This window comes from Homo sapiens, chromosome 1 (genome assembly GCF_000001405.40).
Source record: "Homo sapiens chromosome 1, GRCh38.p14 Primary Assembly".
NCBI classification, from domain to species: Eukaryota; Metazoa; Chordata; class Mammalia; order Primates; family Hominidae; genus Homo; species Homo sapiens.
The window spans coordinates 64,094,068-64,120,566 of NC_000001.11; the positions used below are offsets into that span (position 1 = coordinate 64,094,068).

The 26,499-nt window shown below is 40.7% G+C and overlaps 1 protein-coding gene and 1 long non-coding RNA gene across 7 annotated transcripts in view; one reads left to right on the forward strand and one right to left on the reverse strand.

Annotated features, from left to right (window-relative positions):
- The window catches only part of ROR1 (receptor tyrosine kinase like orphan receptor 1), a 407,482-nt gene that overhangs the window by 320,051 nt on the left and 60,932 nt on the right, over positions 1-26,499 (forward strand). The window lies entirely within an intron of this gene.
- Positions 375-19,724, reverse strand: ROR1-AS1 (ROR1 antisense RNA 1). Of its 2 annotated transcripts, NR_110666.1 has the most exons (6): positions 17,879-18,138; positions 17,045-17,302; positions 16,816-16,890; positions 16,583-16,726; positions 14,253-14,326; positions 375-1,137 (listed from the first exon to the last, which is right to left on the reverse strand). It is a non-coding gene; the product is annotated as an ROR1 antisense RNA 1 (long non-coding RNA). The 2 variants fall into 2 exon arrangements; NR_110665.1 differs by lacking the exons at positions 375-1,137; positions 14,253-14,326; positions 17,045-17,302; positions 17,879-18,138 and adding exons at positions 11,255-12,972; positions 19,562-19,724.

Genomic DNA, 26,499 nt, shown 5'->3' on the forward strand with positions numbered 1-26,499 from the left:
AACTATTGCTTGTCATAAATGAAACCCTCTCTTAACATAAGTTTGACTCAAAAAGTCTGACTCATAATTCATGAAATACTAAGTAACTCTTCTTAAATAACTACCATAGACTGTCCCTCTCCAAAGTTTTCTATGTCTATTGCAAGCATGTTTTGCCTTTAACAAACAACACCCCTTTCTCTGGGAATCATTCTCTGTCATTCCTCTACCCTATCTCATCCAGAAACTGGGGCTCTAGAAACCATGATTTTGATGTTTAATTCAAGTCTGGTCTTGAGTGGGCCAAGCTAGGAATGAGGAGCAGGAGAGAGTTAAGACGTAAAATTTTACTCACTGTATGGATTGAGCAGTGGAAAGAGAACCAAGAAGAGAGATCTTGTGACAACTTACATCTCCGGTTTACTTTTGCATTTCAGTTCAATGAAACAGCCTACTTACCATATAATTTAGTCTGCCTTTTTTTTCCTGAAGCTTTGGTGTTTGTGTGTGTGTGTTTTGTTGTTTTTGTTTTGTTTTGTTTTGTTTTGTTTTGTTTTGTTTGAGACAGAGTCTTGCTCTGTCACCCAGGCTGGAGTATAGTGGCACAATCTTGGCTCACTGCAACCTCCACCTCTTGGGTTCAAGCGATTCTTATGCCTCAGCCTCCTGAGTAGATGGGATTATAAGCATGTGCCACCATGCCCAGCTGATTTTTGTATTTTTAGTAGAGACGGCGTTTCACCATATTGGCCAGGCTGGTCTAGAACTGCTGGCCTCAAATGATCCACTCGCCTTGGCCTCCCAAAGTGCTGGGATTACAGGCATGAGCCGCTGTGCCCAGTCTCCTTCCTGAAGCTTTGAATTTATGTTACTAGCAAACCAAACAATCCTACTGACTATATCATCAAATCGGATGGCCTGAGGATTCTTCAGGTAGATTCAGGCTGCCTTCTTGTTGCAGTCAGTCATGCTTATTTTACATTCATATCATACAGTGCTGCCATGATTGGAGTCCTCAGCAATCAGTTATTCCAGTCCTCTTTGTTTATACTGAAACAAGTCACTATAAAATCTCCTGTTCACATGGATAAGGTACAGTATCCAGAGAAAGCCAATCTTCTCTAGCCTTATTGATTTTGTCTCTTAGACTTCTCCCTGCTGGACAGAAAATGTAAAATAGGAACGTTCAAAATAAATAAGCCAGGGATACTAAGTTCAATTAAATAGAACAAAATGCTTTATATTTTACAAACATTAACTTGAGAAGAGAAATCTAAGTTATTATGGTCTCCAAATGGTAATAGCCCAAATTTCTACTAGCAATAAGATAGATAATTATGGTACTATGTATTCATACAGCAAAATAATATACAGCAACAAAAAGTAATGAATTATAGTTACAGGCAGCAACATGGGTGAATGCCATGTTAATTCCCATTTGTGATAGAAATCAAAATAATAGTTACCTCTTGAAGGGAATGACCAGGAAAGTCATAGGGGAGGTTCCTGGGTGCCATAACATTTGATATCTTTATTTAGGTGGTAGTTACAGAGCTGTGTTCACTTTGCAAAAATTAATTGAATTCTATAGTTATCATTTGTGCAGAATTATGTATGTATATTATACTTCAATTGTAAAAGCTTACCCCAAAAATATCTGAATTATTAGAAATTAGACATAAAACTTACTTCCTCTAGGTCATGGTCTCCCATTATATAAAACAAGAAATTAAACTCAACATTCTTAAAACTGGAAGTGATCTAAGGAAGAGTATCTAGTTCAAACATGAAATGTTTTACAGAAAGAGAGACCGTGGCCAAAGAAGTAAAGTGATAGGCTATAAATTATGAAGTTTATAATTGGTAGAGCCAAGATTAGTCCTTAGATCTTTTAGCTATGTTAACAAAGATATTCTAAATAAACCTCTTAATACTATTCTAAAATAATTTGCTCTGAAGTATACTTTTGTACTAGGAACAAAGGGTTTGTAAAATAAATAAATAATGTGAACAATACCATCAGTGTTTGCATAGAAACAATATGATATCATTCTTAAAGATAAAATCCCTTTGTCACTCACTCCATGAGATACCATCTGATTTGGTTTCTGAAAATTTTGGCAAAATTATACATTGCTTGAAATCTCATTCCCAGGATGTATTTGAAATAAAGTCTTTTTTTTTTAATTTTTTACTTTAAATTTCAGGGGTACTTGTGCAGGATGTGCAGGGTTTTTACATAGGTAAATGTGTGTCATGGGGTTTGTTGTACAGATTATTTCGTCAGCCAGATATTAAGCCTAGTATACATTAGTTATTTTTCCTGATCCTCTCCCTCCTCCCACTCTCCACCCTCCAATAGGCCCCACTGTGTGTTGTTCTCCTCCATGTGTCCATGTGTTCTCATCATTTAGCTCCTACTTACAAGTGAGAACATGTGGTATCTGCTTTTCTGTTCCTGCATTGGTTTGCTAAGGATAATGGCCTCCAGCTCCGTCCATGGCCCTGCAAAGAATATGATCTCATTCTTTTTTATGGCTGCATTGTATTCCATGGAGTATATTATACATGCCACATTTTCTTTGTCCAGTCTATCATTGATGGGTATTTGGGTTGATTCCATGACTTTGCTATTGTGAATAGTGCTGTAATGAACATACTCATGCACATGTCTTTATAATAGAATGATTTATATTCCTTTGGGTATATACCTAGTAATGGAATTGCTGAGTCTAATGGTATTTCTGTCTTTAGGTCTTTGAGGAATCACCATACTGTCTTCCACAGTGGTTGAACTAATTTACACTCCCACCAACAGTGTATACGCATTCCTTTTTTTCTCCACAACCTCACCAGCATCTGTTTTTTTTTTTTTAATAATAGCCATGAAATAAAGTCTTGATGATGATAATGATGATGATGTCAAGGATTCTGACAATGTAAACAATGATGACAATGGTACAGTCTTATGGGTGGTATGTTAGTTTCCTCATTTGCTAAATTAATTTTTTAATGGCTACTCTAAAAAAGTAGCACAAACTTGTTGACTGTCTTACAGTTTTGAAAGTCAGAAGTCCAAAATGGGCCTCACTGGCCTAAAATTAAGGTTCCTTTTGGAGGCTCAAGGGGAGAATCCATTTTTTTTTTGTCATTTCCAGGCTTTAGAGGTGACTTGCATTTCTTGGCTAGCAGCCCTCTTCCAAATTCAGTCAGCAACAGACAGTGGAATCCTTCTGAACACTGCATCATTGTAACATTCTGACTTTCTGCCTCTTTCCTCCATATTTAAAGGATGTTTATATTCCACTGGACCCACCCAAAAAATTCAGGAGAATCTCCTTATTTTGAGGTCAGCTGATTACTGATCTTAATGCCATCTGCAGCCTTAATTCCCACTTGCCATGTAACATATTCAAATGCTCTGGGGATTAGGACATTCACATTTTTAGGGGCCTTTATTCTGTTTATCACAGACAAGATTGTATTTATGCATTTTTGAAATACATACATATATACATATTTCATATAGTATATATATATATAAGGCCTTGAGACAATGCTTTCTTTACCTAGAACAAAGTTATTTTGTCCTAGGTATAATTATTTCCATTTTACCAAGGGAAAAAAAAAGAATAAGGTGAAGCAAATTGCCTACATTTCTGGAGCTGGTTATGGCAGAGCCAGGACTGGAAGCCAGATTTCCAAACCCAGTGTTCTCATTCAGTGAAAAGTGGTTTTCCTAAACCCAGCTGTCATGTTCCTCAAGCTCCAGAACCTCTGGAGGGTGAGCTGTGGTGGACAATTTGAGAATTTAGGTGGGTTTTGTTTCAGAGATTGAAGGATTTGAGAGATGAAGGATTGGCAGTTGCTGAATAGTAAGTGCTAGTCCATGGACAAATTTATGCAAAAGGCTGCGTTCTCCGTCAATTTACACACAATTGCTACTCATCTGTAAGACTTAGCATCTGCCTCACACTCCCCTATATTTAACCCTCAGCCTGGATCATGTGCTTGTCACAAATCAATATTTCTGCCACTCGACAGGAACTTCAGCCCTTTCAAATTCGTTCCAGGTAATTTGAGGAGACTCCAGGGCAGTGATGAAATAAAGTGAAAGCCCCTGATTTACTGGATCTGGAGGCTTGTGCTGTGAGTGAGAAGTGAGGGTGAAAGACCCTTATCACAAGTATTTGTGCTTTTAGATGCACTGAGTCCCCACCCAGAGGTAGGCTCCCTGCCAACTCAGTCCCAAACCCCCTCTGAAATGGGGAAGAAGGGGCCCGGGCTGTGCAGTTCAGGTACCACAAGGTCTTCATTTGTGCTTGCAGCAAATAGAAAAGCATGTTTCTGACTTGGCCCCTAGTGTGAGGTCTGGTCTTGGAGGTTCCGCGGTCTCTCTTAAGACTCTCACTGGCTCACCTCTGCTGCCCCTCCACATGCCAGAATTCTCAGGCAAACTAAGCTTAAGCACAAACTAGGGCTCCAGTGCAGCCCAGAACTTAAAGCACTTTGCTAGGTGCAGACCTGGCTTTGGTATGAGTCTGTGTAATTTGTCCCATGTTGTCACAGTTGTCAGTCACACCTCCCTGTTTATAGTGGTTCCAGGGCTTTGGGATTCTTCAGGATCAGTCCTGCATAGTCCAGCCAGAGGGGATTACTGTTCCCCAAGGTACTACAGGCCTCTTCTTTCATCCCAGCTGACTGTGGGGCAGAATCAGCTCTGTGATATTGATAAAGAACTGAAATAGATCCTTTTAGACTTCAGGACTTCATCAGCCTGAAATAATTTTCTCAGTACTAAATAAATAGTTGCCCCAACAATGATGAAAAATAAATATCGGGGCTATGGGTGAAATAAGTTGCTGAAGGAAATTTAATGTTATCAATAATATAATGGAATTTTGCCCTGTTTTACAGTTCATAAAGCACTTTCACACATGTTATTCATGTCATCAGGAAATGTTTACTGGCGGGCCCCAGTGCTGGAGATACACCAGGAAGTGAAGCAGAGATTGTGTTCTCGCAGGCCTTCTTCTGGGATTATAAAGTGGGGCTGCTGAGGAGTGAACCTGTAATCTTACACATTAGCGTATACTCCCACCATGGAGCCATATCCTGCTCACAGTGCATGTCATCACAAACAACTCCCCGAGGCAGGCAAGACTGTTAATACTACCTCCACATCAGGGATCAGGCAATTGAGCCTCAGAGTGGTGAAGAATCTTGCCAAAGCCCCACAGATTGATATGTTAAATCTGTGTTCAGTTCTGGCGATCCTTCCAATATGCTGGTTTGTTGCAAAGCACAGTGCCTGGTCCATAGGAAGCCCTCAGTAAATATGAATAGCTGCTAAGTGCTCAGTCAATGCCACCTGCTATTATACTTGTCACGGTGGTGTGAGAAGGATAACAAAAGTCATCGGAGCATCTGAACTCATCAGAGGCCGCCAGAGGAACATTCTGCTCCAGAGCATTTGTGTTCCAAATGGAAACTATAAAAGCAAAAATAAAATGTTTATATTTTCTAGTTGGCTGTAAATAAAGAAATAATGATAAAAATAAATTAGTTGCCTGACCTAATGCTTTAAAGTTTGCAGATTGAGTAATGTCTTTTTCCGACAGTAAATTTAGTTAACAGTTATTTGTAAAATAATTAAAATTTCAAGTAACACATGCTCATTTTGCTTAACTAAGTTTGTGGGTTTATTGTTGAAAATAAAGATCAAATAGGCCGGGTGCAGTGGCTCACGCCTGTAATCCCAGCACTTTGGGAGGCCGAGGCAGGTGGATCACAAGGTCAAGAGTCCAAGACCAGCTGGCCAATATGGTGAAAACCCATCTCTACTAAAAAATACAAAAATTAGCTGGACGTGGTGGCGCGTGCCTGTAGTCCCAGCTACTCAGGAGGCTGAGGCAGGAGAATTGCTTAAACCCAGGAGGTGGAGGTTGCAGTGAGCCAAGATCACACCACTGCAGTCCAGCCTGGGCAACAGAGTGAGACTCTGTCTCAAAAAGTTGAGTTTATTTTTCAGCTAACTGGCTATTTTAAAATTTTGGAAAAATTTAAAAATATTACAAATCATACACAATAGATGTTGAGTTAAATTCAATTCAGTTGACTTTATTGATTTGGTATTTTTTTTAAAAAAAAGTTGACCATGTGTGGTGGCTCGTGTCTGTAATCCCAGCACTTTGGAAAGCTGAGCTGGAAGGATAGCTTGAGACCAGGAGTTTGAGACCAGCCTGGGCAACATGGCAAGACCTCATCTCTACTAAAAATAAAAAATAAAAAATAAGCTAGGCATAGCAGTGTGTTCATATAGTCCCAGCTACTCAGGAGGCACAGGTGGGAGGATCGCTTGAACCCAGGAGGTTGAGGCTGCAGTGAGCTGTGATCACACCACTGCACTCCAGCCTAGGTGACAGAGAAAGACCTTGTCTCAAGAAATAAGCAAACAAAATAAGCCTATCAGTAATATCCCCAAATGTTAATAATTGATACCTTGATTTAAAGATAGTGATATCTATTTACTTTATATCAGCATCACTTAATTTTGATAAATACTCCAAGCCTTCATTTTGTTTTTAAGTAAAAGATGTAAAACTCATCTGGGAATATATCAAACCCCTACTAGTGCCTGCCCTCAAATGATCAAGCCTACACATAGCTGAGTCGTAACAAATGTGTTTTAAGGGAATATCAAGCATTAGCAATCTACCCACCACAGGAAAACATCTAATTCTATAGGAGTCAAGAGTTAGTCCTCATTCTAAATGCAGATACTCTGGGGTGTGTAATTCAACCCATGTAAGTGCCCCCTCTGTGCCTGGACCATGGAATAGATCGTTCATAAGATTGCTGCATCTCAGGAGACGGGTCTTTTCAGGAGCACTGGATGATTAGGCCAAGTTACTTGGGAAAGCCAGTCACTGTATTTATTTTTACAAGCCAGATGCTGGCACGTAGTGCATTCTTTTACAAAAATAAAAGGGATTTGGAGAAAAAGAAAGGTTCAGGGTCACAGATGAAATCATGAGGGTATTTTACATGGTTTTATGGGTAGAAATTTTTACTTTTACCTTCTACAATGGTTCTAAAAAAGCCGTTGAGCTGCTCTGTGCAGAAAGTAAACAGGGAAGAGTTTTATGCCCACAGTAGAGTAAAAACCTTAAACTGGGACATCAAGGGACTCCATGCCTGAGGCCGTGGAGAGGCTAATAGTGCCACGGGGTAGGGAACAGGGGAGTCTCTGTTCACCATGGTCCTGTCTCATTCCTAAGGAGTCTTTGGGAGCCCATAGTTAAGCTGTTTTGATAAACACTAAGTAATAACCAGATATGGACATGTGGAATTGATTAAGAGAGGAGGGATTAACTAATGCACTAAATAACCCATCATGCGTGGTGGGTTGGGGAGGAGGTAGAGACATAATGGTACAAGCTCCTGACGAAGAAGGGCCCTGAGATTTTCCTTCAGCCCACAGATATTTACTGAGCACCTACTGTGAGCCAGCTCCTGTTCTAAGAACGAAGGATATGACAGTGAAACAGGCACAAATTCTGCTCTATTGCTTGTGGAGCTTACATTCTTGAGGGGGAACCCAAGGATGCTTAAGAAGAGACAGAAATCACAATGAGTAGAAAGAGAGTGATGTGGTAGAGGTTGCTACTTTACATGGGTTGATTAGAGGAGGCCTCTCCGATAAGGTGGCATTTGGGCAAAGGCTTGAATGAAGTGAGAGAGTGAGCCATACGTTTATCTGAGAGAGAGGCAGATAATTCCAGGCAAACGGGACAGCTAACCTAAAAGCTTTGTGACAGAATCATGTTTGGCAGAATCAAGGAATAAAAAGGCATCTTAGAAATTGCTTGGGTAATGCTTTAAGATCAATTGTCATCTCCTTTCAACTTGTTACAGACTCCTGCTTTTAGGTGTATGCTATATAGTTATTGGTCAAACATTAAGAGCTGGTCCCCATTAATAACTATAACACTTCCTGTATTCAGGTGATGAGAAAAAGAAGGTCCTGCTCTCAAGAGGTGCAAATAGGGCTGGGGAGAGGTCTGGAGAGAATGAGAGACAGAGGCACCAATAGCTAAGTAGACTAGAAGTAGGTAGCAGAACCCTGACCTCCACATTTCTCCTGTTTGTTTTAACAGCTCCGCTTAGCAGCACCACAAGAAGGAGCGTGGAAAGTATGGAATCAGATCTGTTTGTGCGGTTTTTACATTTCAGGCGATTAAGTGAAATGGTAAATGAAACCAAATCTATTGCCTCTATCCCTGTCAGTGTGAGGCAAAGAGGGAAAATAAACTTCAACTCCTGGTGTAGACAGTGGAAGGGTGAGACAAGCAAACCCAGCTCCTTCACACCCACTTCCTTTCTTCTCACAAAGAGAAGTCCCTCTCAGTCCCTCAGAGCTTACATTGATGTGTCCAGAGAGGGAGGTTAAGGAACCCTGGAGATTCATTGTTGGGCCTCATAGCTGTGCTTTTATTCACCTGTCTTTTATAAATGTCCACTGTATGCCAGCATTGTGCTGGTGATACAAGTGCTGTGATGGGAATATGCACAAAGGTGGGCTTAGAAAAATCTTCCTGAAGAATGCAACAGGTATCTATCTCAAAGCCAGACAAGTAGGGTTTGATCGCCTTCGCTTTTTTAAAACAGTTCCTTCATTGTTAATCTGCTCAATTCATCTCCGAGCCATGGTCTAGGGCAGGATTTTTTTAACCTTGACACTTGAACCTGGATAATAATTCCTTGTTGTAGGGGCTGCCCTGTGTATTACAGGCTGCTTAGCAGCATCCCTGGCCTCCACGCACTGGATGCCAGCAACCCCTTTCTCCCCAATTTCGACAACCAAAAGTGTCTCCAGACAGCGCCAGCTGTCCCCTGGGATGACAATCACCCCCCTGTTGAGAATCATTGGTCCAGATGAGGAAGTCCCAGGCCAGGCCTGGTGTTACTTACAAACTCCAGGTACACAAGAATGAGGCTCTTCTTATGAACATCTGGTCTCATTTTCCACTGAAGTTTGAACAATAGGAAACAGGCTAAAAAAGCAGCAGGAAGATGTTAGGTTCGCTATGGAAAAGAATTTCCTGCTTAAGAAGTTAGTAAGGACTGACTTGGCGATGTGGGCTCTTTTTTGGTTCCATATGAACTTTAAAGTAGTATTTTCCAATTCTGTGAAGAAAGTCATTGGTAGCTTGATGGGGATGGCACGTTGTGCACATGTACCCTAAAACTTAAAGTATAATAATAATAAAATTTAAAAAAAAGTTCAAATGCAAAAAAAAAAAAGTAAGGAACTAGAAAATCTCAATGCAACATTTATAAAATATCCTCTAGATATGTGAGTGAAACAAAACTTCATTAAGCTGCTTATTTAAAGGGAAAGTTAATCTGCAGTAGAGGACAAAGTCAGAAATAGTTGCTTTGTTTCTTAAAAAATATATAATTGCCATTTCAATATATTTAACTGCAATTATCAATTAAAATTTGCCTGAAATGGTTGGTGATTTAAAGGTGTTTTCTGAGGCTTTGAGAACTTAGTATATTAACTGAATGTGAATGACTTTCAAATGAGTCCTTATAAGTAGTATGTTTTCATAAGTGAATACACAGTGTTCTCTAAATAACTGTGGACACTGTTAATTTTTCTGTATTACTGAAAATATAGATTTCAGTTCTCCCATTATCTGAATTAACATGACTCCAAGTTAGTTGTGTCTCACTTCACCTTAAAAAAAAAAGGTTTCTATCTAAAAGGAGGGAAAGAATTAACATTCATTGACCACCCATTTGTGCCAGGCTTTGGGCAAGGTCAGCAGTTCTCTAGTGAGGGGGATTTTGCCTTCCAGGGAACACTTTGCAATGTCTACAAACATTTTTGGTTATCACAACTGGAAAGGTATTATATGAGCATCTAGTAGGTTAAGGCCAGAGATGCTGCTAAATATCGTACAGTGCACAGGCCAGCTCGCTCCAACAAACAACTCTCCAGCCCCAAACGTCAATAGCGCTGAGATTGAGAAACTCTGCACTAGGCTATATATCTATGTTATCTTATATTACCCTTAGGACATTTCTTAAAACATCTTTACTATTATTATCCCCTATTATAGATGAAGAAACTCAGGCTTAGAGGGGTGAAGCAACTTGTTCAAGATCCTAAAACTAGTACATAGAAGAGTCAGGGTTCTTATCCACACCCTAGGTGCTGTGGGCAGCTGTCTCTACCACACTCAGCTGTCCTCTTGTAGGTGGTTTTTAATTTATTATCATTATTATTTTTACTTAAAGCCATGTGTGACAGGACTTTGCAAGGAGGATGCTGATGAGTCCAAAGGAAAATCACAAGTGTGCCCAGTCCTCTACTAATCAATATAGCATGAAGTCATATACATCCTGTCCCCTCATGGGTAATAAATTCTTTTTTTTTTTTATTTTACTTTAAGTTCCGGGATACATGTATAGAACACGCAGATTTGTTACACAGGCATACATGTGCCATGGTGGTTTGCTGCACCTATTGACCCGTCCTCTAAGTTCCCTCCCCTCACCCCCACCCTTCAATAGGCCCTGGTGTGTGCTGTTCCCCTCCCTGTGTCCATGTGTTATCATGGTTCAGCTGCCACTTATGAGTGAGAACATGTGGTGTTTGGTTTTCTGTTCTTGTGATAGTTTGCTGAGAATGATGGCTTCCAGCTTCATCCATGACCCTGCAAAGGGCATGATCTCATTCCTTTTTATGGCTGCATAGTATTCCATGGTGTATATGTACCACATTTTCTTTATCCAGTCTATCATTGATGGGCATTTGGGTTAGTTCCATGTCTTTGCTATTGTAAATAGTGCTGCAATAAACATATGTGTGCATGTGTCTTTATAGTAGAATATTTTATATTCCTTTGGGCATATACCCAGTAATGGGGCTGCTGGGTCAAATGTTATTTCTGGTTCTAGGTCCTTGAGGAATTGCTGTACTGTCTTCCACAATGGTTGAACTAATTTACGTTCCCATTAACAGTATAAAAGTGTTCCTATTTCTCCACAACCTCACTAGCATCTATTGTTTCTTGACTTTTTAATAATCGCCATTCTGACTGGTGTGAGATGGTATCTCATTGTGATTTTGATTTGCATTTCTCTAATGATCAGTGATATTGAGCTTTTTTCATGTTTCTTGGCCATGTAAATGTCTTCTTTTGAGAAGTGTCTGTTCATATTTTTCACCCACTTTTTGATGGGGTTATTTTTTTCTTGTCAATTTGTTTAAGTTCCTTATAGATGCTGGATATTAGACCTTTGTTGGATGGATAGATCGCAAAATTTTTCTCCCATTCTGTAGGTTGCCTGTTCACTCTGATGATAGCTTCTTTTGCTGTGCAGAAGCTCTTTAGTTTAATTACATCCCATTTGTCAATTATGGCTTTTGCTGCAATTGCTTTTGGCGTTTTCATTATGAAGTCTTTGCCCATGCCTATGTCCTGAATGGTATTGCCTAGGTTTTCTTCTAGGGTTTTTATGGTTTGGGGCTTTACATTTAAGTCTTTAATCCATCCTAAGTTAATTTTTGTATAAGGTATAAGGAAGGGTGATCCAGTTTCAGTTTTCTGCACGTGGCTAGACAGTTTTCCCAGAAACATTTAATGAATAGGAGATCATTTCCCGATCGCTTGTTTTTGTCAGGTTTGTCAAAGATCAGATGGTTTTAGATGTGTGGTGTTATTTCTGAGGTCTCTGTTCTGTTCCATTGGTCTATATGTTTGTTTTGGTACCAGTACCATGCTGTTTTGGTTACTGTAGCCTGTAGTATAGTTTGAAGTCAGGTAGCTTGATGCCTCCAGCTTTGTTCTTTTTGCTTAGGCTTGTCTTAGCTATACAGGGTCTTCTTTGATTCCATATGAAATTTAAAGTAGTTTTTTTTCTAATTCTGTGAAGAACGTCAATGGTAGCTTGATGAGGATAGCATTGAATCTATAAATTACGTTGGACAGTATGGCCATTTTCATGATATTGATTCTTCCTATCCATGAGGATGGAATGTTTTTCCATTTGTTTGTGTCCTCTCTTATTTCCTTGAGCAGTAGTTTGTAGTTCTCCTTGAAAAGGTCCTTCACATCCCTTGTTAGCTGTATTCCTAGGTATTTTATTCTCTTTGTAGCAATTGTGAATGGGACTTCATTCATGATTTGGCTCCCTGCTTGTCTATTGTTGGTGTAAAGGAATGCTTGTGATTTTAGCACATTGATTTTGTATCCTGAGACTTTGCTGAAGTTGCTCACCAGCTTAAGGAGTTTTTGGGGTGAGATGATGGGGTTTTCTAAATATACAATCATGTTGTCTGCAAATAGAGACAATTTGACTCTCTCTCTTCCTATTAGAATATGCTTTTTGTCTTTCTCTTGCCCGATTGCCCTGGCCAAAACTTCAATACTATGTTGAATAGAGTGGTGAGAAGAGGGCATCCTTACCTTGTACTAGTATTCAAAGGGAATGCTTCCAGCTTTTGCCCATTCAATATGATATTGGCTGTGGGTTTGTCATAAACAGCTCTTTTATTTTGAGATATGTTCCATCAATATCTAGTTTATTGAGTTTTTAACATGAAGGGATGTTGAATTTTATCAAAGGCCTTTTCTGCATCTACTGAGATAACCATGTGGTTTTTGTCTTTGGTTCTGTTTATGTGACGGATTATGTTTATTGATTTGCATATGCTGAGCCAGCTTTGCATCCCAGGGATGAAGCCAGCTTGATCGTGATGGATAAGTTTTTTGATGTGCGGGTAATAAATTCTTAGCACACGGGTACAGTCTTTTGTTTCACTTTGTTTTCCTCGTTATTCTGTAAACCTGCCAGTTTATGCACGTCAAAGGTCTAGAAGACCTTGCCAGTTCCTCTGTCCAGAGTCCCCACCCTGCCACTGAGGAGTAGCATGCAGTTTCACAAGTCGTGTTACCCCAAGAGCTTCGGTTTCCTCATCTGTAAAACAAGGATGATAACACTTTCCTCACATGATTGTTGAAATGATCATAGAGTAATAATAATAGTCAGAGGTACAATTTATTATGTGTGTTATGTACTGGGCGTTATATTAAGTGCTCTACACGTATTATCTCATTTAATTTTTAGAATAACCTTTTCAGTAGTTGTTGCCCCCATTTTGCAGACGACAAAAGTGAGGCACTGAGAGGTTGTGTAATTTACTTGAGTGCAGGTGGTCAGTAAGTAGCAGAGCCAGCATTTGAACTTAGAATGTCTGGCTCTAAGCCTCAGACTCTCTTAACCACAAAGCTCTCTGTCAAGTGCTATACAAATGTGAGAATTATTATGAGCAATGATAGCTAGTTTAGGTGATTAAAAAGCTTTATGTGCTTCAGAGAGTTTTCACAGGGTAATCATCATAAATTCCTTTTTCATCGTCTTTGCTGTTCCATCCTTGTGATCATTATGCAGTACCTATTATGTTTCACCTTTGTGTTTTTTTCTTTCTTTTCACAAGTTTAAATAAGGGAACTAGGGGTCTTTTTTTTAAGTCAAGCTTTGTTAATAGATTTTCAGAATGCACATTAAAGTGCCAGAAATTGAGTGCTTTTCTGATTAGTAAAGATTGTATTGGTTTTTTTTTTTAACAATTCACTTTTTAGATTTCTATTTTAAGCCCACTTAGAGCTGATTACAATAACCCCTATTTATAAATAGAATTTTACTGGGCCTCACCTCTGACGTATTTTCAAATTCAGTCTCACTCACTCTAAGTAAAATAATCATTCATCAAGTGAAGGTAGGGTAGAATAAGAGCATATTTCTGCAGCTACCTCTGTGTTCTGAGGGAGCCAGCCATAAATATTCAGCATCGGTGGTCAGAGTTTGGCTCTGCATTAAATCATAATCATTTTACTGGTGAATAAATGACATGTTTAATTATTTTATATGGATGTATAAATTTTGGTCTTGATCTGGGCAGCATATTTTTAACATCTGGATTTTTTTGTTTTCTTGTTGTGTGTGTGTGTGTGTGTGTGTGTGTGTGTGTGTGTGTTTAAATCACTGTTTAGGCTGGGCATGGTGGCTCATGCCTGTAATCTCAGCACTTTGGGAGACCAAGGTGGGTGGATGGCCTGAGGTCAGGAGTTCAAGACCAGCCTAGCCAACATGGTGAAACCCCATCTCTACTAAAAATACAAAAATTAGCCAGGCATGGTGGTACATGCCTGTAATCCCAGCTACTAGGGAGGCTAAGCCAGGATAATCACTTGAACCTGGGAGGCAGAGGTTGCAGTGAGCCGAGATCACACCACTTTACTCCAGCATGGGCGACAGAGTGAGACTCCATCTAAAAAAAAAAAAAAAAAAAAAAAAAAAAAAAAAAAAAATCACTGTTTAGCTTTAAGTGCTAGGACACAAAATGTGAAGTCACTGTGGTCTTTAAAAATCTCAATTAACCAGAACATTCAAATTGCTGGGTGTATTCAACACTCCACTTCTGGGATAAAGAGTTAAGTGACAAGGGCAGAGCTGGCCGTGGGAATCACTATGGGGCTCCCAGTGCCTAGGCAAGTCAGGTTGAGTGAGCCTCCACTCCACCCATCACATAACACACACACACACCAATACAACATTCTACAACAAAAAGTTAGCAAAAGAGTGTTCAGCAATGACAGTCTAAAATGGAAAAGTCAGAGAGATGAAGTCTCAAAGGGACATTCTGTATTCTGGAGATTATGTGTAGAGAGATACAGAAGAAAGTCATTTGGCAACAAGTTTCAACAAGCTTCTGTTATATGGGTCACCCTTACAGGGTCGTAAGCATCCCTTGGGGGATTGTTAAAAATAATGTTTAGGACCCTGTCCTAGTCCTACTAAATCCAAATCTCCAGAAAACCCAGGGAAAATGATTTATTTAAAGGGCCACAGGTATCTTGGACACACCCCAGAGCTACTGAATCACAGTCTCTAGAGCTTGGGCCAGGAATCGGAATGCAAAAGAAGCTCCACAGGTACTTCTGATACAAACCCCCGGCTTAGATCTCTGGGGGTGGTTCCTGGCAATCTGCATCTTTAGTCCATCCTCTAGGTGTGTCTTACAGACACCCCAGTTTGAGAGACATGGCATCAACTATTGTTCTGAGTTTTATCAGAGCAGAGGTAGCCAAATCTTCTAGACCTTATAGATCAGCTCCGATGCACAAGATTGGCATGAAAACAGCTTACATTAAAGTTTACTTAAAAATTACACATTTCCTATTAATTTTAATCTTCACAGTCTTATGAGGCTGCTGTAGCTGGAATTATAAGTGAAGAAAATGAGGTTCAGAAAGGATAAGTAACTTCTCCAGGGTATTTTCTGAGCACTCTGAGCAGGTGGCAGAGTTTGGGCTCAAATCACATCTTTTTGACTCAAGCCCTGAGCTCCATTCCTGCACTTATGATGTGGTGCACAGTGCCTAGATAGCACTTTCACACATAGAATCTTCCTTGTGCTATAGAAGAGCCCTGTAGGCAAAGTTACTTATCCTTTCTGAAAAATCACAATCTCGGCTCACTGCGACCTCAACCTCCCAGGTTCAACCAATCCTCGTGCATCAGCCTCCCAAGTAGCTTGGACTACAGACACACACCAGCATGCCCAGCTAATTTTTGTATTTTTTTGTAGAGAACAGGGTCTCACTTTGTTGCCTAGACTGGTCTCAAACTCGTGGGCTCAAGCAGTCCTCCGCTCTGCCTTCCAAAGTGCTGGGATTATAGGTGTGAGTTACCTCATTCAGGCCCTCCTGCCTTCCTTTTATTATATGGTAGGGTGGGATGGGCAGGAATTTGTTGTCTTTTGGGGGCTTCTGATGTCCGAATGTCTTATTAATTAGCCCTACCAACAGACACAACTCAGACCAGAGCTAACCCTGTCAATTTAGACATCACTTCCTCTAGGAAGCCTTTGCTATATCCCTCCAGTAAAGGTCACATGACCTCCTCTGCACACTCAGTCTCCCTGTCTTTGTCCATATCACATAGCACTATCTGTTCCATGAGGCCAGGTATTGTCCATATGTACAATAGGAACATAACTCTTAATCAAATATTCGTGGAGTTGATGAACAAGTGCAGTTAGAATCAGTGGATAAATCCTTCTAATATTCAAAGCAATGAAGGCAGCTCACTTTTCTCCTATGCCTATTCTAAAATCAAATTATTCTTTTATTCATATTGTCTGTTTTAACTAGATTTTATGTGCATAAGTGTATTGTAAAGTGGGAAGGAAGACCACTAGAGGCAAGTACTTCCTTCTCCATTTGATGATGAGGAATCTGAAGGTAAGAGGCAGCAAGTAACTTTTCTAAGGTCACACAGCCTATCAGATATAGAGCTGGGTTTTGCATTCAGGTCAATTGAACATTGAACCCTGAGGACAGGCAGCTGGTAAGTATCACAGCTGAGATTAAAACGCAAGCCATCTAATTCCCATCCTCATCTTTCTTCTGCTTGCTTCCTGCCTAAAAAACAGGATAACAAAGGAGGGTTGTTTCTGTTTGTAATTTCAAAGTTAGTACTCAATATATCACAAGGGTCTCTTAAATCATACAGTGTTCATTACCTGCATATTCCTTGTGAGAGTTAAGCTTTGGTCTTCCTCATTTTACCAGATGGGAAACCAAGGCCAGGAAGTTTCAGCATTCTCACCAGCTCTTCAGAAAGCTCATGTATCTTGGAAGCAGAATGCAGGATGGTGCTGGAGGGGCTGAGAGTAGGTAGGAAATTAAGGGACTCTGTTAGGAGCAGTGGAGTAAAGACCTTTAACTTGAAACCATTTAAAAAATACTTTCATACCATATATTTGTGAGCCCAGGTAATTTCTGAATTTCTGATCCAAATCTTTTCCTCCAAAATGCCTGCTAAGAAACTCTAGAGGTCGGGGGTGAAGCGGGGAGGGAGAAGGAAGAAAAAAAAAAAGAAAGTACAATGATTCCATTCAGAAACTTGGTCCAAATCCTTGTCTCTTTCTTCTATCAGAAATCCTCTGTTGTCAGTCCCTGGCATCACCTAGAGATTTCCTTACCAGCAGCATTCTTATGTTTTTACTAAAACTTCTCCTAGAAGAGCATGTTTTGCTTTTAGGAGCCAGACTTAAGAAAGTGCATCAGCTTAAAAATACATTTGCTTGTAATTTTTGTCCATGCTGCCATCTGACAGGATTTGAGGATGCTTCCATTTCTGCCAGGATAATAGCTTTGTTATCTGCTGAGATCTGCAATAGCTCGACAGCACAGGAAATCTGTGTCTCAGCCCCCTGCTCCAAGTTTAGCTCATCCATTACCTAAAATTGGGTTTACACAAGGAAAATTACTTTAGTGCTAATCCAGTTGACTTGTAAAGTAAATTTAGCTTCCTCGGGTTCCTAGTCCCATAATCTAAACTGATTTCAACAACAGCTTTAGGAGTCCTCCCACACTTCTTAAGAACCCTCAGGAGCATGGGTCCCCAGCAAGCTGACCACAGCTACTAGTCATCTTCAAGCCAGTGATGTTTGCTGCCTTGGTACATTGTCCGTGGCTCCACAATTACACACTGGAGGGTAGGGCTGGGAGTAGTGGGAGAAGATAGCCTTGGGCTATTCATTTCACATTTCTGTGTCTCCGTCTGTAAAATCCTGGTAACAAATGAGGTGCCACATAGAGGGAAAAAGTGGAATTAAATGTTTTGAACCCAACTCACAGAAAATCTGTGGAGTAAAAAGCTGATTACAAGTAACAAAATCTTCCTTTTTTTCTCCCTTGTTCCTAAGTGTTAGACCTGGGTTCACTTGCCACAACTTATAAACCAATCAAATGTGATGATGTTTAAGACTTGCTTACAGTGGTTTCCCCAAAGCTAATCAATGAAAAGTCCTTACATTCCACAAACTAGTCAGCTTTGCAGCAACAGCCTCACCTTCTTGGGGAGGCACATGATGTGAGTCACACAATTTTCATGCCAGCCCAGAGCGTTGGGTGCCATTACAAAGCCATGGGTGTCTTACATGAATGGGAGCCTCGCGGGGGGTTGAAGAGGCTGATCTGATCTGTGGTTCCTCAATTCAGAGGACATGAGCTTTTGAAAATAGGCCTTTCTAGGTGAATTGGCCTGCATGTCATAGTTTACACATACTGAGAGCTGATCATATATCAATAATTGTTCTAAGTTCCATTGTGGGTGAGTGCTATTGTGATGTGCTATTGTGTGTGTACTATTGGGTAAGTGCTATTGTGATGTTTATCAGATCCTCATCATAACCACATGAAGCAGTAAAGGTATTATCTCCAACTGGGGCACAGAAAAAAAAAGTTAACTTGTCCAAGTCACATAGCTAGTAAGTGGCAGGCCTAGAATTCCAACCCAGGCATTCTATCATGATTACTAGTGGCCACGAATCAGATGATTGTAGTAACTTGTCCTGGACTTGGGAGATCTGTATGCTGACTCATAGAGCCCTAACAGTGTCTTAATTGATACGCCCAGTGGTTTCTTCTCAGTCACCAGTGAACTTTGTAGAATAGGATGCAGCTGGTTACCCTTTCATAGCATCTTTCACCCTTTTTTCCCACCTCTTTGAGACTCTTTTTAGTGTGCTTTGTTGACTTCTCTTCCTCTTTCAACCTCATATTTGTGGATTCCCCCACAAGTTTCTGTCCCTGCCCTTCCTCCTTCCCTCACCATCTAATCTCACCTGCATACCCAGTGTGCTCATCAATTCTTATAGGTTCAACTGGCAGTTCTATAAGGATGACTGAAATTTATCAGCCAACCCTGACTCTTTTCCCGAATGCAAGACCTGCATTTCCAGCCTCCCATTGGACATTTCCCTATGGACAGCCTGCCAGCATTCCCTATTTCACCTCTCCACATTGCCGCACTAATTTGCACAGTAGCCAGTACATAATAAGCATGTGATAAATTGGTAATAGATGAAAGAATGCATAATTTAATGAAACAGTTGCCACCTTCCATAGATTTAATCTTCCAGACTGCTCTTACCTAAGCTACTTTCTTCCGTTTTTCTGAATCCCCTCACTTAACCCTGCTCTCAGGTGCCCCTCAACCTGCATCTTTTGTTTCTCTTTGTTCTGGTGCCTGTTTTCTTCTCTTCTACACTCTTTTATAGTTATTTCTGTAAATGTCTTTTCTATTCAAGAATGTGCATACATTAAGGGAAGAGATTGTATTTTCTTCATTGGTTTTCACTAAATAGCCTAACACCGTGCATTTCACAAAGAGGCACACCATATCTATGGAAAGAGTGAATCAGTGAAAGTAGACATAGCACTCTGCAGTTTACAAAGGGCTTCACAGGTACCATCCCTATATTCTGCAGTAGGCCGAAGAGATAGCCGTTGAGTCATTAGCCCCATTGTACAGATGAGGAAGCTGCAAGTTAGTGTGGTCGTTAATGGTCCAGAATCTCACTGCTCTTAAGTTTCCAAGCCATTCTTATGATTTTAAACTGGAAGGCAGATCATCCCCTCATCATGACTTTCTCCCCCATGTACTCGGGAAAAATGAGGGAGAGAGACAAGAGAACTTTGGGGTGAAAACTCACATTGGGAACAATTACAAGTGTGTCTGATTTGGTAGCTTGGATGTTACAACCACTCATCAATTTTCATGTGGCTTCAAAGACCCTCATTTGAAGCTCCTAAGAGCAGCTCACTTCAGAAGAGACCCAGGTACCAATTTATTCTGGAGAGTTCCAGTGTTTCGTCCTAAAAAAAAAAAAAAGAAAGAAAGAAAAAAGAAAGCATAAAGTTTAAACAGATCCAAGGATTTTTCTTTTGGAATCTGACAGATCTGGGTTGGAGGCCCAACTTTAACATTTAACAATCGCCTCCCTGCCCCCATTTATAAAATGAAGATAAAAACACTCTTACTCGTGGTGATATATGTGGATTAAAAGGATAAATTTTAAAGTGCTTGGCATGACTCCTGGCATGGGAACTCAGTCCATTTTCTCCCTCTGCCCCTGAATTGTGCCTCTGCCTTTAACTCCTTCTATATGTGGGACCATGACCGGTGAACTTGGGGCCAAGATGAGCCTCACCTACCAGGGGTAGAGAGTAGAAAGCCCAAGCTGATGACTGAAGCTGGAAGTGTCAGCTTCTTGCACAATTGCTGCCCTCTTAGAGCTGCTTGAGGCCATCTCAACGTGCAACATGACTGACATGCAGTTAGGTCATTGAAATCACACCATCGGAATTCTTCAGCTTAATATGTCGCTTCTTAGAAAGTTAATGCCCTTTTGATACTATCAGTATGAAATGTTGAGAAGCAAAAGCTCAAAGGCTTAATTTTAGAAGAGAGAGAGCAGTTTCTAAAGGAGTGACTGATGGGAGAGAGACTCAGTAGTTGACTATGCAAAGGTGCCCAGGGCAGGTGTGAACAACAAAGCTGGCTTCCTGATACAGGTAGTACTGAAAGAACCCCGGCTCCACAGCCCTGCAGCACCTTTAAAGAAAGGGTGAGGGAGACATGCTTAAGCATTTTTTTTTCTGCTCCACAACAGGGCCCAGGGTATTGACAGTGCTGACAGAACAACTGAGAAGTTGTTTAGGTTGGCATTAACAAACCCGGCACATTGCCTTTTCTGATTGACACAATTCAAACGGGTATCAACTGCCTTTCAGTACCACTGAGAAGTGGTGAACGATGAGGGAATCATAGGGCCATCCAAGTGCATTCCTAGCAGGGACCATGAATCAGCCTTATCTTGTCCCACCTCCTCTTTACACAGGGAGGTAAGCCAAGGCTCAGGACATCATCAGATATGTGATAAATCCTCCATTAACTGGAATAGTCAGTTAACAAGACTTGTTTGCCTTTTATATTGTTATAGTCCAATTTTGGTTAAGTAGAGGTAAAATAGGTAAAAATAAGATGGTTGTTTGTTTGCTTGTTTTTGAGACGAGGTCTCACTCTGTCACCAGGCTGGATTGCAGTGGTGCGATCATGGCTCACTGCAGCGTCTACCTCTTGGACTCAAGCAATCCCCCTACCTCAGCCTCCCGAGTAGCTGGGACTACAGGCACGTGCCCAGTTAGGTTGGGATTTTTTCATTGAAGTGATTTTAAGTAATATGTACAGTTTCACATCTGGTACCTTGCTCCACCATTTACTAACTAGGTGACCCTGGACACATTTCTTTATTTTTATTTTTATAACTTGCTCTGTTGCCCAGGATGGAGTGCAGTGGTGCAATCATAGCTCACTGCAGCCTTGAACTCCTGAGCTCAAGGGATCCTCTTGCCTCAGCCTCCCGAAGAGCTGGGGCTACAGGCACATGCCACCATGCCTGGCTAATTTTTAATTTTTATTTATTTATTTATTTATTTTGTAGAGACAGGTCTTGTCTTATTGCCCAGGCTGGTCTTGAACTGCTGGCTTTAAGCAATTCTCCCACCCTAGCCTCCCAAAGTGCATTTCTTAAATTCTTATATATGCCTCAGTTTACTCATCTGTATAAGAGGGTAAATAGAACTTACCTCTTATGGTTGTAACGATAAATAAATAAGATAAAGTATATATATGTGTATATATATATATCACTTAAAAAGAATAAGCACTCAATATATATTTATTTTATTAATACTGCTATTATCATCTGCTTTTGCTCTATCTCTATTCCTGCCTGATGCACCTGAAGGTTGAGCGGCATTGTAAACAGAGGGTGGCAGCATGAGCTTAGGCATTGTGTGGAACTGGATGTGAACTTGGGGAAATTGCTTCATTCTCTAAACCTCAGTTTCCTCATCTATTAAATGGGAGGAGTAATACCTGCCTCTGCATGATTCTTGTATGGAACAAATAAGATCATATTTATAAAGTGCTTAATACACACCTGCCAATAAATGGTCAACATGATTATGGTTAGAATAAGGATTCTAAAAGCATTATAAAGTGCCGGATCATGAAAGATCGTAGCTCTTCATTGATTCAGTATTTATCTCTTGAGTACTTGCTTTATGCCAGATACAGAGTTTGGCACTGGGGACCCAGATTTACAATGTGTTGAAACAAATGGAAGTTTCTCGTGAACTCTTGGTCACTAATGAGATGAGACCATCCCGTTCCACCGCACTTTCAAGTTAATCCATGCTCTTCTATAGAATCCTTACATTCCAGCTGTGGGATGGCTGTGTCTCATATCTCCTCAGATCAAAAAGCATTTCTGCGAACAGTGATATTGAACATTAAACTGGCTGCATCAAACTTGAAAGGATGGGGCGGTGATTTTGTGTCACAATATTTTTAACATTATGCCTGGCGAATGTGCACATGTTAGATATAAAGGAGGTTTCCAAAGGGGAAGCTTTACTACTTGGACTTTTAAATTGCCAGGCTGCATTCTTGGGAAAGCCACATAAAAGAATACCCCTTTTTAAATGAGTATTACCTCAAAAAGTATAGCTCTTTTACGAAAGGAATATGTTGTTCTGAAGCCTTGTCCTTGATGATTTTACTGATATTGTGATGGTTATTTCAACTAACATAAGAAGGAATCTATTAGATAACAAACATTCACAGATTGCCTCTGCTTGCTGGGAATTACATCCAGCAGCTTGAAGAGCTGGGTATATTGAAAGGAAAAGGGCGTTTTAAATGTATAATCTACTCTTCCCTTTGGCACCAATCCGTGTAGTGAGACAACACTTGGCTGGGACTCGGGATCTGGCCCTGGCTTCCATTCTGCCATGACTTTGAGAGGAAACTCAAGTTCCGCCTTCTCCAGGAAGTTATCCCTGACCACCCCAGCCTACGGTGGATTTTCCTGCACTGAATGTGTTACACTTAGATTCCATGGTATATGATTTAACACATGGCCTCTCATATGAAATAACATATGAAATGTTATTTCAACATTTTATATCTTGTCTCTCCAGAAACGTTACATGCTCCTTGAGGGAAGAAATCAAGTCTAACCTGCCTTTTGAACCCTCTATGTAGTGCTATAAAATAAATATGTCCTCAACCAAGTCCTGATTGACTAAGAAAACCAGTGATTGGTCAATGATGTTACTTTGTCTTCTGCTAAACATTTTTGGGGCAGGGGATAGAGGGGTGTGGGAGAATGGGAGTTCAACTCAGAGGAAACTTAGTAAAGAGGAAAAGACATAACAGACCTGGTATTGAGTCCCCATCTGGCCAATTAATCACCAAGTTATCAAATAAAGCCTATTTGATCTCTTCGACCTCATTTTCCTCATCTTTGAAATATCTTCCTCTTAGCATGATTTTGAGGATCAAATAGAGATAATATATGGAAAATTCTTTGTATGCAGGAGCCCACTTTGTAATGTTATTCATTGCTTCAATTTTCAATTTGGCTTGGGTTAAGAAAAAAAGTATTTTTTTTTCTCTCAAACCAGTGAGCGGGGGAAGAATGATAAAAATCACATTTTCTGAAATTACTCTAGCTTATGTAAGAAGTTTGATCTGCCAGTATTTGCCTTTTTCTCACATCACCTGCTGCATGCCACACACCTGATTTGTCTGTTGTGTTCATGTAGGATTTTGTAGCTCACAAAAGCATTTTCACATGCATTATCATACAAAAACCCTGTGATACAGGCACTGTGGAAGTAAGTATTCCCATTTCATTGATGAGTAAACTGAGACTCACAGAGGCTTTAAAAATGCCCCAACATCACCCTATCAGGCTGACAGTGCCTGCCTTCCTCCAGCCTTGTCCTCTTTCCACAACACCACACTGGTTCTCCTGTACAAATATTAGGCAGCTCCCACAAGACATTCTCAGTCACAAACATGATCACCATCTACTTCCTAGTCAAGGAGATCAGTTCACGCATTTTGTCTTCATACAAATAATTAAAACAGGGACTGGGTACCTTGGCCCATGCCTGTAATCCCAACACTTTGGGAGTTCAAGGCGGGGAGATCACTTGAGCCCAGGGATTTGAGACCAGCCTGGGCAACATGGTGAAACCTTTTCTCTACAGAAAAAACACACAAAAATTGCTGGGTTTAGTGGTGGCACTTATGGTCCCAGCTACCCGGGAGGCTAAGGTGGGAGGATCACCCAAGCCCAGTAGGTCAAGGTTGCAGTGAGCTGTGATTGTGCCACAGCACTCCTGCCTGGGTGACAGCATGAGACCCTGTCTCAAAATAATAATAATAATTAAAACATTCAAGCAAGATCCCATTCAGTTTATAAGTCATTAATAATTCATAATAAATGTAAACATTGTAAGCCTGGCCTTTCTGTATTTAGCAGTATAGCAAAATGGTTAAGAATTAGATGGACCTGGCCGGGTGCTGTGGCTCACGCCTGTAATCCCAGCACTTTGGGAGGCCGAGGCAGGCAGATCATGAGGTCAGGAGTTCAAGACCAGCCTGGCCAACACGGTGAAACCCCATCTCTACTAAAAATACAAAAATTAGCTGGGCATGGTGGTGCATGCCTGTAATCCCAGCTACTCCGGAGGCTGAGTCAGGAGAATTGCTTGAACCGGGACTCGGGAGGCAGAGGTAGCAGTGAGCCAAGATTGCGCCACTGCACTCCAGCCTGAGCTACAGAGCGAGACTCCATCTCAAAAAAAAAAAAAAAAAAAAAAAAAAAAAGAATTAGATGGACCTGATCCTAATGCTCGTTCTGATGCTCAGATCAAGGGGAAAATGAGGAGGCTTTTTAGGCCTCGGTAAATCAGAGTTAACAACACCCAGTTAACAAGCCCAGTGTCACAGTGAGAGTGAAATGAGATAATGCATATATAGCACTTTCTCCTCCATGTGACTCATAGATAAAAGCTGTTGATATTTCAACTGTTCTGGGCTATGGAAATTTTAAAAGATTTCATGTCTAGGTGACACGTGAAAGTCCAGCACGTGGACCATAAATGTTGTCATGGTTTGACAGTATTAATGAAACACTTCATCGTGTGTCAGCCAGCCTCACCTTGACAGGTCATCTCTGGCTGGCGTAACCCAAGGGCCAATGTGAAAAGGACATTTCACTGAGGACATGATGGGGTTGCCTTGTTTTTCTTGCTTCTTAAAGAGCCATTTCAATTAATTTTTTTCACACATAATCCTGACCCCTTGGCCTCCCAGTAGAATGCTATACGTGCACAACAGGAATTTTGGCGTTTATTGTTTATCCTCTGGGGGAATGTGGTCCCCCTTTTACTGCCTTTTTCAGCCCACTCCCCCCAGTTGAATTTTTCTGAGAGGCAGTGGAAGGGAAAGTATATACCCCCATAGTTGTATTTTTTTATCCTTATTCACGATTCTCAACAGCTTTTTAAAAGTGATGGCTGGCAGCCAGGTACAGTGGCTCATGCCTGTAATCCCAGCACTTTGGGAGGCTGAGGCAGAAAGATCATGAGGTCAGCAGTTCCAGACTGGCCTGGCCAACATGGTGAAACCTCGTCTCTACTAAAAATACGAAAATTAGCCAGGCGTGGTGGCAGGCGCCTGTAATCCCAGTTACTTGGGAGGCTGAGGCAGGAGAATCACTTGAACCCAGGAGGTGGAGGTTGCAGTGAGCCCAGACTGCGCCATTGCACTCCAGCCTGGGTGACAGAGCGAGGCTCCGTCTCAAAAAAAAAAAAAAAAAAAAAAAGTGATGGCTGGGGGCCTATAGTCTATAATCTGAGCTGACCTATATCCATGGCACATGTGTTAAAGGTGGAACCATAGTAGGTCAGGACAGCCATGTAAGGTGTAGGTGATAATATCCTGACTTTGGAAATGAAGAAATGGATGCTTAAATGGCTAAGTAATTATTTAAGGCCACATGGGTAAGAAAGGGCAGAGCTAGGATTTGAACTCTGGTTTATTTGATTCCAAAGCCCTTGCTCTTGGATGCTGTGACTTAGAGATTTTCAAATGCCACTTTCTTAAAAAGGGGTCTTCTAGAAATAAAAACTTTTAAGAAAAGGTGAACTTTCAATGGTGGAAATGTGTGTATTGTGGCAGTCCAGTCAGGAAATGGTGTGTTATTTTTGAGAAGCAAAACCTTTTGGTGGTTCTCGACTGTTCTCCAAAGACGCAATGTGCACTGGGCCTCCACGTAGGGAACTCCCTTTGCTGAGTCTTTAAAGGAACCTACTGGCTGATGATGATTATTATTAATAAAGTCTAATATCCAGAGAGCAGGATTCTTTCCCATGAACAGGACCATGGAAAGCCTGGAGTTGGGGGAGGCCTAGGGAGTCAACAATACAAAGGAGGCAGTAGGTTCATGGAGAGCGCTGTGTGGGGGCACAGTGAGGAATTGCTACGGGGAGCCTAAAGCAGCATTGTCCAGTGGAACCACATACGTCATCTTCAGTTTTTAAGAGCTACATTTTAAAAAGTAAAAATGAATGAAAGTAATTTTAATAAGCTATTTTTAACCCAAAGATCCAAAATATTTTCATTTTAATGTGTAATAAATATAAAAATATGAATGAGATATTTTACTCTTTTTTTTTTCTTTGGTACTAAGTCTTTGAAATCCAGAGTGTATTTTACACTTACCACACA